General features: G+C 44.7%; 1 long non-coding RNA gene across 2 annotated transcripts; it reads right to left on the bottom strand.

Moving 5' to 3' along the window:
* LOC107984610 (uncharacterized) lies at nt 28-4018 on the bottom strand. Of its 2 annotated transcripts, XR_001749794.1 has the most exons (3): nt 2914-4018; nt 1809-1943; nt 28-103 (listed from the first exon to the last, which is right to left on the bottom strand). It is a non-coding gene; the product is annotated as an uncharacterized LOC107984610 (long non-coding RNA). The 2 variants fall into 2 exon arrangements; XR_007063724.1 differs by lacking the exons at nt 28-103; nt 1809-1943 and adding an exon at nt 1965-2326.
* Nucleotides 4019-15984: the final 11966 nt, after the last annotated feature.

Genomic DNA, 15984 nt, shown 5'->3' with positions numbered 1-15984 from the left:
CTCTTCAGGACCCAGGTTCCCGTTTCTCTCTGGCTGGGTCGCCTGCCTCCCGTGGGTTAGGTCTGTCTTCCTGCTACTCACAAGGGAAGACACTGGGAGCCACCTGGAAAAGACAGATGTGGAACAAGGAGAGGTGACCCCTGAGAGTTCTCACTTCACCCTGGCGTGGGTCATGACCTGTGTCACTCTGGCACTCTCAAGGCATCAACACCTACCCCACACTTGGGAAGAGTCAAACGAGCTGCCCCCAGGCCTGACCTCATGAAGACTAATGAAACTAATGAAGACAAAGTTTCCTGGAGTTTATGTGGCCACACAAAAGCACATCCACAGCCAATTATGTCATTATGCAATAGTCATGTTTAATAATTGGAACCATTATTGAATAATTAAACTTCACCACATGTTACAGCCCTTCACCTCATCTTGTTTTTTCCTTCCTTCCTTAGTACCAGGGATAAGAGAGGAACTGGCCCCATAGCTGAGCACGAACTCTTTGGAAGGAGTCTGTACAAAGCTCAGGGTGAGAATGATGAGTGTGTTGAGAACATGGCGGGAGGCTGGCATCTGCCTTTGGAGAGTCCACCTCTGGGGGCCTCTGTAGGGCCATGGAATGTGTGCTTCTGGCATCCCTGCTGGGAAGGCATCTGTGCATTTTATGGGCATTACTGGGGTCCCACACTGCCTTGCCGGCTCAGAGGCTATGTTTTCCCTTAGCTGTTTGAGACCACAGTGCCCTTTCTTGTCACTTTTGTCTCAAAAGAGAGTCCAGTCTGATGAAGAAAACTTGATATTCCAGACCTCCCGACATCAAGGCCCAAGCCAATGCGATGTTCTCATGGAATCCTTCATATTCAGGGCATATCCTGGCTCTCCCTGATGTGTGTACAATGAGAAGGACACACCCTGTTGCCCCTCCTTGGCCCGCTCTTTTGGTCATTGTGGCAGGGGGTCTGCTCGAGCTGGACACAAAGGATTCCATGGCGTCTCAGGGTATCCCAGTCCAGATACCTACTCTGAGAAGGCTAGTGTTGACCCACACCCTTCCACCACCCAGGGTGTCACCCATTTTTAGCAACTCAGGGACTAGGATGGGGCGAGGGAGGCCCTGGACTTGCGTGCAAAAGTCCGGGGGGGCTTACAGACTAGAAGGGAAGGTTAAACATGACACGATGACCAAAGTGGAAACCAGACACTCTGGAGAAAACGTGATGTGAGGGGAACTTCAAGTCAAGACAAATTGTATTTTATGCCATGTTAATCACACTGGCAACCTAAGGCCCACAGGCCAGCTGCAAGCTTTAGTAAATAAAGGTGTCTTGAGCTCAGTGGAGACACAGCTGTGTGATCACCTCTATCTCTTGTCTTTCTCCCTTCCAGCCTCCTCTGTATCTGCACAGCTGGGGACTGGAGCTAGGATGGAGGGCAGTGGGCTGGAGATGCAGCTCATGAAAAGCTCCTGCTTCCAGAGGCATGCCCTGTCCATCAAGCTACATCACTAACAGCTATTTTCATTATTCCCTTTCCATGCCCTTCCTCAATCTTTCCAGGCTGTGGATTTACTTAGAGAGCTGCAGCCCCAAGCTGATGATGTGGGCTTCCCTGTGTCCAGCCCCAGGTCTAAGGCTTCCTGGTGTAGTCTTCCACTTGCCAAACCAAACGTGCAGAACCTGACTTGGGTGGATAGTCTGTTCTGAGCTGGCTGTTCTGATCCCAACCCCCTCGCTGTGGAAGGGGCTGTGACCCTGTGGGCCCCACCTCTGTGAACACCTTAGGAGCTGAGACCTAAGCACATTTGCTGGGCTTACAGCAAATGTGCAGCCTTCATCAGGGGCCTGTGGGTCTGTCTTGTCTTTCTCTTTCTGGAGCTCCAGGGCCTGAGCAGTCGATGAGAACTCCTCACTCAGTTCATCCACAGTGTCTTCTATCTGCCATGTCATTCTCTGTAAATGAGGCACAGATGGTCTTCATTAATTTTACTTTTATTCAAATTTCATGAAACATTTCTTGTGCTCCCACTCCATGACAGGCAGTGGGGCCAGTGCTAGATACACAGAGTCAAAGCTGGGGGCTGCTCTCAGGGGCCTCAGAGCCTGCAGGCAAATTGAGCCAGACAGTCCCGCACAGGAAAACAGGAAAACTTATTGTGGAGAGAGACACGTGGCGCAACATCAGCAAACAGCAGGACACCTAGGACACCTTGCCCACATACAGTCATCAGGGAGAGCTTTCTGGAAGAGGGCACATCTCAGCTGAATCTTGAAGGATGCCCAGGAGTCAGCTGAGTGGTGAATGGAAGAAGCATGTTCCAGGCAAAGGGAACATCCTGTGGGAAAACAGAGATATGAGAGCATAGGGAACGTTCATTCATCTATCTGTCTATCCATCCATTCATTCACCTGTCCATCCATCCATCCATATACCCAACTGTCCACCCATCTCTTCACCCATCCATCCATAATTAAAGAAAGACTTATTAGGCACCCAGCAGGTGTCAAGCCAGTGATCATTTCTGAGACTCCAACTTCCATGGAGTTTACAGTCTGTCAAGAAAGGTAGATCAGACATAAAAGAATATTGTTGAGGAGGTGAATTCTGGAAAACCTCTTTAAAAAGGGAACCTGATTAAGTTCCCAGTTTACCTTCCTGCCTTTCAAGCAGCTGTCTTGTAACAAGTGACTGTGAAGATGGAAGAAGGTGTGTGCCAGGGTTTGTGAAACAGAAAGAAGGACCGTGGGTGCTGATGGCTTTTCTTTTGAATATGTTAACTTTTGGCTATCTGTGGAGCCTCCCATAAGCTAATGATTGCACAGTGAGGTCAGCCGCCATGAAAAGCCCACTTCTTGCTCCAAATATGAAATGGCAGAGAAAACAAAAATACAAACACACAGCCATGTTTGAAGGAGAACTCACCTGATGCCACAGCTGAAGAGATGAGCCGGGTGGAGGAGGAGGTGAAGGCATGTCGGTCTTCCTCCCTCAGAGGCTGAGTTGTGAATTCCCACCCTGGACAGGTGTTGAGGCCATGAGCAACCTTTATATGGGGGAACTGAACTCAGGCTGCCTGAGAAAAACCCAGACCCAGGAAGTGGCTGCCTCTCTGAACTCGGATGAAAAGCCTCCATCCAGCCTGTGGACATGGCTCTGTAGCTGAGTAGGCTTCTTTCTCAAGGCTGTGGTTGGAACAGTATCAGTGTGAGGAACTGGTAGCACTTGGCAGTACATCACGGGAGGCCAGGACCTACAAACAGGACTGTGCTATGGGGACAGCCAACCCCACGGAGTGTGAGTAGAGACAAACACCGTGGCAAGACAGGGAGGTCTGCACAGAGAACAATCCCACTGAAGCCAAGCTCAGAGCTGAAATACAAAACCTGCAAGGAAACCCAGTGATGTGAGAGTCAGCAGCAGACACATTGAAAATACACCCAAGAAACCAACGACAGTGACATCTGAGCATGACTGTCATATAAGCATGTAAGTAAATAATTTAATGATGATAGAGCACTGAAATTTCTTTAGACACGGTATTTTTAAGTTATATTTTTTCCTGGAGTACAAATATGAAATAGCACAAACTGTACCATGAATTAAGCAAACAGAATGAAAAAAAAAATTCTCCCAATCTAGTCCTCCATTTCTCACTCCCACTTGTCTCAGACTTCTATTGAAGATATCTAGTTAAACCTCTAATGGAACGGCTATGGGAACACTTACTGCCAACAGGGATGACTGACTAGTTTCCGGGCACTGAGCAGGGGACTGTGGGCTCTGGAGCAGTTTACTTCCTGTGGAAAGCCAGTCCCATTTCTATTTTGCTTCAACCCAGGCCTGTTCAGATAAAGCACCACTCAGTAGCTACTGACCATTTAAGTATGGAGAGAAAAGCGAAGTAGAAAAATGATTTTCTCTTAAAGAAAGAAATAGCAAATGGAAGACCAGCCATAATAGCTCTGTGGCACAAGAGACATGACAGGGATCTCCTCCCCAGATGTCCCCAGCTATTTGTCAGCCTCTCATATCCCTGACCCTCTGGCTTCTGGCTCTGTGACTACAGTTGCCACAGAGGATTCATGGACAGCAAAAAGCTTAAGGAGCCTGGAGGTTTTGCATAACATATACATTCTGCTGACAGAAGCACATACATGGTATGGACTATTATTAAAATTGTCAGCCTGCTTGCACTCAGTTTACAGGAGAGGCCCTGTTGGTCTTGGGGCAGCACAAAATGATGAGGCTAACTTTAGTAGTGACAAGAATGACCCTCTTATACCATATGGCCAAAGAATACCTGCCCATCCCCAAGTCTATGGGGGATCGGATGAAGTGTGGGGTTTGGTTGGTTAGTCAGTGAAGTTTTGATCGGTGAATACGTACATATGGCATAGTTAAGTACAATTATGTTCCATTAAGACTTACTGACTGCCAGTACCAAATGTAGAAGCCTCCAACACAGTAAAAGCATGGCAAGATTGGTGTCAGGATGGGTCAGCCCTGACATTACTCACTGTGAGTACAAGCACTGAGTTCTTTCTAGTTCTTTCTGAGAAAGGATTTCACCCACTGTCACTCAATCACCAAATAGGGAACAAGGCTTTTCTTGGCTTTGGCTCTCACTGTCCCTTGGAAGGGTTTCTAATTGGTGGAGGCAGAGGAGACAGTGAGTAGTTCAAAGTGGACTGATGGCCCCAGATGAGCCAACAGAACGCCCAGGAATTCCACCCACGCCAGGACCCAGAGACAAAAGGTAAGAGCTGTTGCCAGCCACAGGGGCCTTTATCAAAGCACAGCGGCACCGCCTACTACTCTGCCCCATTCCTCAATCTAAAGTCCAAGAGGGGAAGTTCTTTGGGAGAGAAGGGAAGCTGGTAAAGGCCGTGCCATTTCCCAAAGGCCTGACCCTCTAGGCCACCCCTAGCAATATAGTCAGTGTGGAATATGATCCTACCTAGAAAATGAATGGCACTATTTTAAGAGTAGGGCATCGGCCGGGCACGGTGGCTCACACCTGTAATCCCAGCACTTTGGGAGGCCAAGGCGGGTGGATCATGAGGTCAGGAGTTCGAGACCAGCCTGACCAATGTGGCGAAACCCCGTCTCTACTAAAAATACAAAAATTAGCCAGGTGTGGTAGCACGTGCCTGTAATCCCGGTTACTCAGGAGGCTGAGGAAGGATAATCGCTTGAACCCGGGAGGTGGAGGTTGCACTGAGCTGAGATTGTGCCACTGCACTCCAGCCTGGGCAACAGAGCGAGACTCCGTCTAAAAAAAAAAAAAGAAAGAAAAAGAAAAATAAGAGTAGAGTATCTTGGGGAAATCTAGGAGGCCTACTCTGAAGCTTTTACTCAAGTGTGGAAGCCACACCAGTATGCAGGTATACTGTCTTACAAATCTAGATGGATATTCTAGTTTTCAAGCACCCCATTAATACTTTTTAAAAAATTCAACCACTGGCCAGCCATGGTGCGTTCACACCGGTAATCCCAGCACTTTGGGAGGCCAAGGCAGGCGGATCATTTGAGGTCGGGAGTTTGATACCAGCCTGACTAACATGGTAATATTTGAGTCTGATGAATTTTGTTGAAGTTCTTTACATCCATGCTGGGAAGCAACTGTCAGAAATGTTAAAGAGTTATGTATAGTAGTGTTTCAAGGCAGTGGTTTTATTGCAACAAGCATTGTTTTCCATCAGCAAGACACGTGATGTATAATAATCTCACTGTAGGTAAGGTGACAAAAATATTTCTTTTTTTATTTTTATTTTTTGAGATGGTGTCTCGCTTTGTCACCCAGGCTGGAGTGCAGTGGCACGATCTCGGCTCACTGCAAGCTCCACCTCCTGGGTTCACTCATGCCATTCTCCTGCCTCAGCCTCCCAAGTAGCTGGGACTACAAGTGCCTGCCACCACGCCCGGCTATTTTTTTTGCATTTTTAGTACAGACAGGGTTTCACCGTGTTGGCCTGGATGGTCTCGATCTCCTGACCTCATGATCTGCCCACCTCAGCCTCCCAAAGTGCTGTGATCACAGGTGTGAGCCACCGCGCCTGGTGACAAAAACATTTCTATGCACTGCAGTTATGGAACTCGGCCCACTAGAATTACTTTCTCCCTCCATCTCTTTCTATCCTTCTGTTTTTAAAAATAGTTAAACTCTCTGCTCTTAAGTTTTGGATGATTCTATTCCAAGTTAGTAAATTCTACTTAAGAAAACTAGTATCTGAAGCGCCAAGATGGCTGACTAGAAGCAGCTAGTGTGTGCAGCTCTCACAAGAGGAGATGAGAGTGGTGAGTGAACATGAGCTCTTCAGGTTGATCGTCCAGCAGGCTGTGTTGGGATTCATCAAGGAAGCAGTGGTGACTAACTGAGAGCAGAGGGGAGTAAGGCAGGACAGTTGCCCACCTGGGTGCAGAGCAAGGGGAAGCTCCCTACAGCAGGGAAAGGATGAGTGAGTGAAAGCTCCTGGGGACCCATACTTCTGCCATGGACGTTTGTAATTCCCAGGCGCAGGAGACCCTCCATGACTCCACCCGCCCCACACACACACCCTGGGGCTCTAGACTGACATGAAGAGCTGCTTGGAGTCTGGGCAGAGCCACTGCTCAAGCCAATGTGGATCTCTGAGCACCCCAGCACCAGCTGCCACAGCCCGGCCAACAAGGTAGGCCAGGCTCTGTCATGTGCCCCTAGGATAGGGGCCATATCCATGATGCTGGGGAGCAGACAGACTGCAGGCCTTGCCTCCACTGCACCTTGCCAGGCAAGGCCCACTGGCCTGGGCCTCCATCGCAGCCATCCACCCCCGACCTGAGCACTCCGGCTGGTCACAGCCCTCATTGCTCTGGGATGGAGCTCCCAGAGGTAACCAACAGGCCCTCTGCACTGCTGCAGCCTGTGCCCCTACTGCCCTCAGGCTGGAGAGGGAGTAAAAAGCCCCGACAGCTGTCATGGGCCTCCAGCATGCCACAGCTGCCATATGGAAAGGCAGCCAGACAGTTTTCCACATGGGTCCCTGGCCCTGCTGCTCCTCACTGCGCAGGGTGCCTCCTGGCTTGGGCCCCCAGCACTACTCCTGCCTGATCACTTCAGTTGGTGATGGCTCTGTGTTTCTCTGGGATGGAGCTCCCAAAGACAACTGACAGGCCTCTGCCATTGCTGCCACCACAGTACCCGCCCTTGCTTCCCCCAGGCTAGGGAGGGAACAAAGAGCCTGATTACTTTCTCACAGCATCCTACAGAGAGGAGGCCAGGCTATCTTCAGGGTTGGGTTGCCTGACCTTCCTGCTCTTCAGGCAGGGCCCCCAGCTTGGGCCCAGCAGCACAGCTGCCCCAACCCTGGCTGATCACCCCAATTGGCTGTGGTTTTGCATTTGTCTGGGATAGAGTCCCCAGAGGCAACTGATAGGCCCCCTGTCATTACCACTGCCGGGGTCCCTATCCCTGCTGTCCCTAAGCTGAGGAGGGAACAAAAAGCCTGAGCTTTCCCTGGGGCTGCAGTGTTGAAGCCTGGGAGTGCCAAGGCGAGATCTGTAGCACACATTAGAGCAGGAGAGGAGCCCACACTCTCAGCGTACTGAGAGGGCTGAGTTACATGAACCTGTGGGCTACCACAGCAGTGGGCATGTCTCCCTCTGCAGGGCCAGCTGACTGGGAAAGGGGTGGCCTATCTCCCTACCACAGCCTCTGTGTGAGAGAGCGCACCTGCCAAAAGAAACATGGGCACAGTGCCATTGGTTGGAAGGGGCTTCCCCAGTGCCCAGGAGCGGACCTGACGAGGTGGTCACCTCTCTTCCCACTGTACTGCAGAGCACAGCCGGAAACACCAGGAAATACAAAGGAGCCATGTGGCTAAGCTCTATCTACCAACCATTACTCTTATGTGCCATCTACTGGAAGTCAACCTAAATTACAAAAATAGTTTGCTAATATACCTTCCTATAAAACCAAGGTGAGAATTCAGCCACAAATAAAGACCGTGCACAGAACCTTGGCCCTCAGAAAAATGCAGCCAACTGACTATACTCAACTTACGCCACAGTTAAAGGAATACCAACTCTCTCAGATGAGAAAGAATTGGCACAATAACTCTGGCAATTCAAAGAGCCAGTGTCCCCTTACCTCCAAATGAGTCCACTAGCTCCCTAGCAATGGTTCTTAACCAGTTGGAAATGACTGAAATGACAGACGTAGAATACAGAATCTGGGTGGCAAGGAAGCTCATCAAGATTCAGAAGAAAATTGAAAACTAATCCAAAGATTAGTGGTCCTAGATAAAGATAAAGGGATCCAAGAGCGGAAAGAAGAAATAGCCATTTTAAGAAAGAACCAAGCTGAACTTCTATAGCTGAAAAATTCACTATAAGAATTATATAATACAATTGAAAGTATTAACTACAGAACAGACCAAGCTGAAGAAAGAATCTCAGAGCTTTTCTAACCAACTCAGACAAAAATAAAGAATTTTTAAAAATGAGCAAAACTTGATGGAAATATGGGATTATGTAAAGAGACCAAAGCTATGACTCATTGGCATTCCTGAGAGAAAAAGAGAGAGAATAAACAATTTGGAAAATATATTTGAAAATACTATTCATGTAACTTTCCCTAATTTTGCTAGAAAGGTTGACATGCAAATCCAAGAAATAAAGAGAACCCAGGCTAGATACTATATAAGATGATCATCCTCAAGGCACATAGTCAGCAGATTCACCAAGGTCAATGCAAAAGGAAAAAATCTTGAAGGAAAAAGAAGAGAAGGGCCAGGTTATGCACATGGGGAAGCCCATCAGGCTAGCAGCAGAACTTTCAGCAGAAACCTTACAAGCCAGAAGAGATTGGGGATCTGTTTTCAGTGCCCTTAAAGAAAATAAATTCCAATTAAGAATTTTATATCTCACCAAAAAGCTTCATAAGTGATGGAGAAATAAAATCCTCAGAGAAACAAACACTGAGGGAATTCATTTCAACTAGACCAGCCTTGTAAGAGATCCTTTAAAAAGTGTTAAACATGGAATTGAAAGAACCTGCTACCACAAAAACACATTTAAGCACATAGCCCATAGGCAAAACAGAGCAACCACACAAACAAGTCTATACAACAACCAGCTAACAACATGATGACAGGATGAAAATCTCACATATCAATACTAACCCTGAATGTAAATGGGCTAAACACCCCACTTAAAATGCAAAAAATGACAGGCTGGATTAAAAGACAAGACTCAACCATCTGCTGTCTTCAAGAAACCCATCTGACTCCTAATGACATCCACAGGCTGAAAGTAAAGGGATAAAGAAAGATCTGTCATGCAAATAGAGAACAAAAAAGACAAGGAGTCGCTATTCTTATGTTAAATAAAACATAACTTTATATATATATATTTTTTTTTCATTAATTAATTAATTTTTTTTGAGACGGAGTCTCGCTCTGTCACCCAGGCTGGAGTTCAGTGGCGCGATCTTGGCTTACTGCAAGCTCTGCCTCCTGGGTTCATGCCATTCTCCTGCCTCAGCCTCCTGAGTAGCTGGGACTACAGGTGCTCATCACCATGCCCAGCTAATTTTTTTGTATTTTTAGTAGAGACGGGGTTTCACCATGTTAGCCAGGATGGTCTCGATCTCCTGACCTCGTGATCTGCCCACCTCAGCCTACTAAAATGCTGGCAGTAGAGGTGTGAGCCACCACTCCTGGACAAATAAAACATATTTTTCACCAATAAAAATTAAGGACAAAGAAGGGCATTCCTTATAGAATGATAAAGGGCACAATCCAACCAGAAGACTTAGCCTAAATATGTACACACCCAACATTGGAGCACCCAAATTCATAAAACAAGTTTTTCTTGGCCTACAAAAAGATTTAGACACACAATAACAGCAGGAGACTTCAACAACCCACTGACAGCAATAGACAGATCACTGAGGCAGAAAACTAACAAACTCCGTACTTGCACTTGACAGTTGACCAATTGGACCTGATAGACATCTACAGAACACTTTGTCCAACAAACACAGAAGATACATTCTCATGTGCACACAGAACATATTCTAAGATCAGCCACATGCTTGGCCACAAAGCAAGCCTCAATAAATTCAAAAAGTTTGAAATCATACCAAGCACACACTCTGACCACAGTGAGACAAAAATAGAAATCAGTATCAAGAAGATCTCTCAAAACTACATAAATACATGGAAATTACATAATTTGCTCCTGAATAACTCCTGGGTGAAAATCTTAATTAAGGCAGAAATTAAAAAAATCTTTGCAATTAATGAAAATAGGGACACAACATACCAGAATCTCTGGGATGCAGCTAAAGCAGTGTTAAGAGGAAAGTTTATAGCACTAAATGCCTTCATCAAGAAGTTAGAAATATCTCAAATTAACATTCCTACTTTGCACTTAAGGGAACTAGAAAAAAAGAATAAACTGATCCCAAAGCTGGCAGAAGAGAAATAACTAAAATTAGAAAAGCACTAAATGAAGTGCTTTTTGAAGTGCTGTTTTTTTTTGAGACTAGATGCAAAAATCCACACAAAAGATCAATGAAACCAATAATTAGTTTTTCAAAAAATATGCAAGATGGATAGTGTGATAGCTAAACAAAGAAAAAAAGAGAAGGGCCAAATAAGTACAATCATAAATGACAAAGATGACATTACAACCAATCCCACAGAAATACAAAAGATCCTCAGAGAATACTATAAACAACTCTATGCACACAAATTAGATAATCTAGAGGAAATGGATAAATTCCTGGAAACATACAATCTCCCAAGATTGAACTAGAAAGAGACTGAAACCTTAAATAGACAAATATCAAGTTCAGAAATCAAATCATCAATAAAAAATCTACCAACAAGGAAAAGCCCTGGACCAGATGAAGCCACAGCTGAATTCGACCAGATGTACAAAGAACTGAGGCTGGGCGCGGTGGCTCACCCCTGTAATCCCAGCACTTTGGGAGGCCATGGCATGCAGATCACAAGGTCAGGAGATAGAGACCATCCTGGCCAACATGGTGAAACCCCGTCTCTACTAAAAATACAAAAACTAAAAATTAGCCAGGCGTGGTGGTGAGCACCTGTTGTTCCAGCTACTCGGGAGGCTGAAGCGAGAGAATGGCGTGAACCTGGGAGGCAGAGCTTGCAGTGAGCCAAGATCTCACCACTGCACTCTAGCCTGGGTGACACAGTGAGACTCTGTCTAAAAAAAAAAAAAAAAAGAACTGGTACTAGTTCTATTGAAACTATTCCGAAGAACTAAGGATGAGGGGCTCCTCCCTAACTCAGTCTATGAAGCCAGCATCAGCCTAATACCAAAATCTGGCAGAGAAACACACAAAAAGAAAACTTCAGGCCAATTACTCTGATCAACATAGACACAAAAATTCTTAACCAAATACTAGGAAACAGAATCCAGCAGCACATCAGTAAGTTAATACACCACAATCAAGAAGGCTTCAGTCCAGGGATGCAAGGCTGATTCAACATATGCAAATCAATAAATGTGATTCACCACATAAACAGAACTAAAAGCAAAAACCATATCATCATCTCAATAGATGCAGAAACGGCTTTTGATAAAATCCAACATCCCTTCACATTAAAAACCTCAACAGACTAGGCATCAAGGGAACATACCTCAAAATAATAAGAGCCATCTATGACAAACTCACAGCCACCAACCTACTGAATGGGCAAAAGCTGGAACCAATCCCCATGAGAAAAGGAACAAGACAATGATGCCCAGTGTCACCACTCCTATTCAACATAGCACTGGAAGTCCTACCTAGAGAACTCAGGCAGGAGAAAGAAAGAATAGGCATCCAAAAAGGAAAAGAAGTCAAACTATCTCTCTTTGCTGATGATATGATTCTATACCCAGAAAACCAAAGACTCTGCCAAAAGGCTACTAGAACTGATAAACAACTTTAGCAAAGTTTCAGGATAAAAAAATCACTGTATAAAAATCAACATCATTTCTATACACCAATAATGTCCAGGCTGAGAGTTAAATCAAGAACAGAATCCCATTTACAGTAGCCACAAAGAAAATGAAATACCTAGGAATACAGCTACCAAAGGATGTGAAAGATCTCTACAAGAACTATAAAACACTGCGGAAAGAAATCGGAGATAACACAATTAAATGGAAAAACTTTCCATGCTCATGGATTGGAAGAATCAGTATCATTCAAATGACCATACTGCCCAAAGCAATTGACAGGTTCAGTGCTATTTCTATCAAACTACCAATGTCATTCTTCACAGAATTAGAAAAAAAGTATTCTAAAATTCATATGAAACCAAAAGCCTCAATAGCCAAAGCAAATCTAAGCAAATGGGCAAAGCCAGAGGCTTCAAACTATAAGGCTATAGTACCCAAAACAGCATGGTACTGGTACAAAGGCAGACATATAGACCAATGGAACAGAATAGAAAACCCAGAATAAAGCCTTACACTTATAACCACCTGATACTGCAAGGCTGACAAAAACAAGCAATAGGGGAAGGACTCCCTATTCAATAAATGGTGTTGGGGTAACTGGCTAGCAATATGCAGAATAATGATACTGGACCCATACCTTTCATCATATATAAAAATTAACTGGAGATAGATTAAAAATTTAAATGTAAGACCTCAAGTGATAAAAATCCTAGAAGAAAACCTCAGAAATGCCCTTCTTGACATTGGCCTTGGGAAAGATTTTTTTTTTTTTTTTTTGAGATGGAGTCTCGCTCTGTCTCCCAGGCTGGAGTGTACTGGGGTGATCTCAGCTCACTGCAAGCTCCACCTCCTGGATTCACACCATTCTCCTGCCTCAGCCTCCTGAGTAGCTGGGACTACAGGCGCCGCCACCACGCCCGGCTAATTTTTTGTATTTTTAGTAGAGACAGGGTTTCGCCCTGTTAGCCAGGATGGTCTCGATCTCCTGACCTCGTGATCCACCCGCCTCAGCCTCCCAAAGTGCTGGGATTACAAGTGTGAGCCACCGCGCCTGGTTGGGAAAGAATTTTTAACTAAGTCCCCAAAAGCAATTGCAATAACAACAAAGATTGACAAGTCAGACCTAATAAAACTAAAGCGCTTTGGCACAGCAAGAGAAATGATCGACAGAGCAAACAGATAACCCACAGAACAGGAGGAAACATTTGCAAACTATGCATCCAACAAAGGTCCAATATCCAGAATCTATAAGGAACTTACACAAATCCACACACAGAAACCAAATAGCCACATTAAAAATGTGGAAAGAACATGACACATACTTCTCAAAAGAAGACATACAAGTGACCAATGAGCATCTGAAAAAATGTTTCACGTCACGGATTGTCAGAGAAGTGCAAATCAAAACCACAGTGAGATACCCTCTCACACTAGTCAGAATGGAGATTAATAAAAACTCAAAAACAACAGATGCTGGCAAGGCTGCAGAGAAAAGGGAACGTTTATACATTGTTGGTGGGAGTGTAAATTAGTTCAGCCACTGTGGAAAGCAGTCTGGAGATTTCTCAAAGAACTTAAAACGAGCTACCATTTGACCCAGCAACCCCATTATTGGATATATACCCAATGGAAAAAAGACCATTCTACCAAAAGACACACACACTGATATGTTCATTGCTGTGCTATTCACAATAGTAAAGATATGGAATCAACCTAGGTGCCCATCAGTGGTGGATTGGATAGAGAAAATGTGGTACATATACACGATGGAATTCTACACAGCCATAAAAATGAGTGAAATCATGTCTTTTGCAGCAACATAGATGGAGCTGGAGGCCATTATCCTAAGCAAATTAATGCAGGAACAGAAAACCAAATACCACATATTCTCACTTATGAGAGCTAAACAACAGGTACCCTTGGACATACGGATGGGAACAATAGACACTGTGGACTACTAGAGGGGGATGGAGGGAGAAGGGTGCGGGTTGAAAAACTACCTATTGGGTACTATGCTCACTACCGGGGTGCAATATACTGATGTAACAAACTTGCACACATTCCCCCTGTATTTAAAATTAAAGTTAAAATTTTAAGACATGAGTATCATTCTGATCTAAGTTTCTTGAGTTGTTCAAAGAATCATTCATTTTGCATTCTAAGAAAGCAATACCCAAAGAGGCCTTAAATGAGTTTTCTTTGAATAAGCGAAAGCAGAATAGTGTGACAACTCATAATTTCCAGAAATTTTGGTGGGTCTTGGAGGTCTGGGGAAGAGAAACCTTAATGGTAATCTCCTTATTTCAAAAAGGGAAATTCTTAAAATAAAAAAGGGGGTTTCCTTCCTTCCTGTATTTCTGGTACTGAAAAAGACAGATCTTAATCTTCACTGAGCCAGCTAAGTATTTTCCTCCCTATTCACCTAAACCCAGGACATAATATGCCCTCTGTAGATTGTGGCTGTGTGAATTTTAAAGGAAATAGTGTAACCTATGTTGTGCCTACATGTTTCTGTCATATGAATGGCAGGGCATAATATTAACATGAAAGGAATTTGAAAGCACGTTCTATGATCTTTTCCTCAAAGCAGGAGCCAGGTCAGGGGGAGTAAAGGAAAAAGGCCTTAGCTGGGCTGCTGCATGGGCAGTCGGAACGTTTTTGGAATATTTAGAGGAGAAAAAATCACCTGCAGCGAGGTGGCTCACCAGTCTAGTGGGGCTCTTGGCTCCTGGCAGGTTGCTGCCTTCCGTGCCCACCATGGCTCAGGGCTCTACTCTCATCTGTGCCATTCTGGTACCCACAGCCCTTAGAGCAAGTATTTTTCTATTTCCACTCAAAAATTAAAAAGCTCTATGGCAAACTCCCGACACTGAGCTGCTGATTTGGGTGGCCCGAGCGGTTAGTGTGTTGGTTAGAAAGTTGCTATGCCGGACAGGATTGCCCTGGACTCTCAAACTGTATTTTCATGGACCGCTTCTTTTTTTAGTCCTTTCTGTAGAGTGCCAGGTTTTTCAGGAATGAGTATACCGTGTTTTAGCAGTGACACTTGTCTTATTAGTTGTTACCTTTCATTTCCTGATGAACTCATCTTGGTCTAGATTGTTGAGGGCCTTGACAATAAAAGGAAAATCATTCAAATAAGAATAATTTCAATAAGGCCAAGATAGAATGTTTTCAAGGACAATCATGGCCTGAAGATACAGTGGCAATAAAGGTGTTTTGAATAAAGTAACACCCACAGACTGGGCGTGGTGGCTCATGCCTCAATACCAGCAATTTGGGAGGCTGAGGCAGGCAGATTGCTTGAGTTCAGGAATTTGAGCTCAGCCTAGGCAACAACGGCAAAACCTCGTGTCTACTAAAAACACAAAAAATTAGCTGGGTGTGCTGGCATGCGCCTATAGTCCCAGCTACTTGGGAGGCTGAGGTGGGAGAATCACCTGAGCCTGGGAGGTTGAGGCTGCAGTGAACCAAGATCACACCACTGCATTCCAGTCTCAACAACCAGAGTGAGATGCTGTCTCAAGAAATAAAAAATACAAATAAAAAAATTTGTTAAAAAAAAAAAGTAGCACCCAGCACCAAAGAGGAAATAATAATGATTTCCTGTAGACATAAGGCTAACCAGTGTTTATAATGAAAAGATAACCTCCCTTCAGAGTCCTCCCAAGCTTAGGTGAATTGTGAGCAGGTGTAGTGAATTTCAAAATAATACACCTAGATTACTCTAAGAACAAATATTTCTTTTGATTTCACTTACAGTTTTAAACAAAAGCAGAAGTTACCAGAGATTACTTATCTTCATATTTACCACAATCTTCTTACCCCAACCCCCATGTCTGTGTGTGATTAAAGGAAGCTTGTCAAGTAAGCTACCTATTTAGTGCTCAGAATGAGAGACTGTGTGTGTGTTGGGAGTTGGGGGACTGCTTGTGTGAAACACTTCTCTCTTCTGGATTTAAAACTTAGTCTTTGTTGCCAATCTGTTAACAGACAGTTTGTAAATGAAGTGGAAGAAAAAATATAAATTAG

The sequence above is a fragment of the Homo sapiens genome, chromosome 13, assembly GCF_000001405.40.
Source record: "Homo sapiens chromosome 13, GRCh38.p14 Primary Assembly".
Classification (NCBI taxonomy): domain Eukaryota; kingdom Metazoa; phylum Chordata; class Mammalia; order Primates; family Hominidae; genus Homo; species Homo sapiens.
The sequence above is the reverse complement of the archived record's forward strand: the minus strand, read 5'-3'. Positions and strand labels throughout refer to the sequence as shown.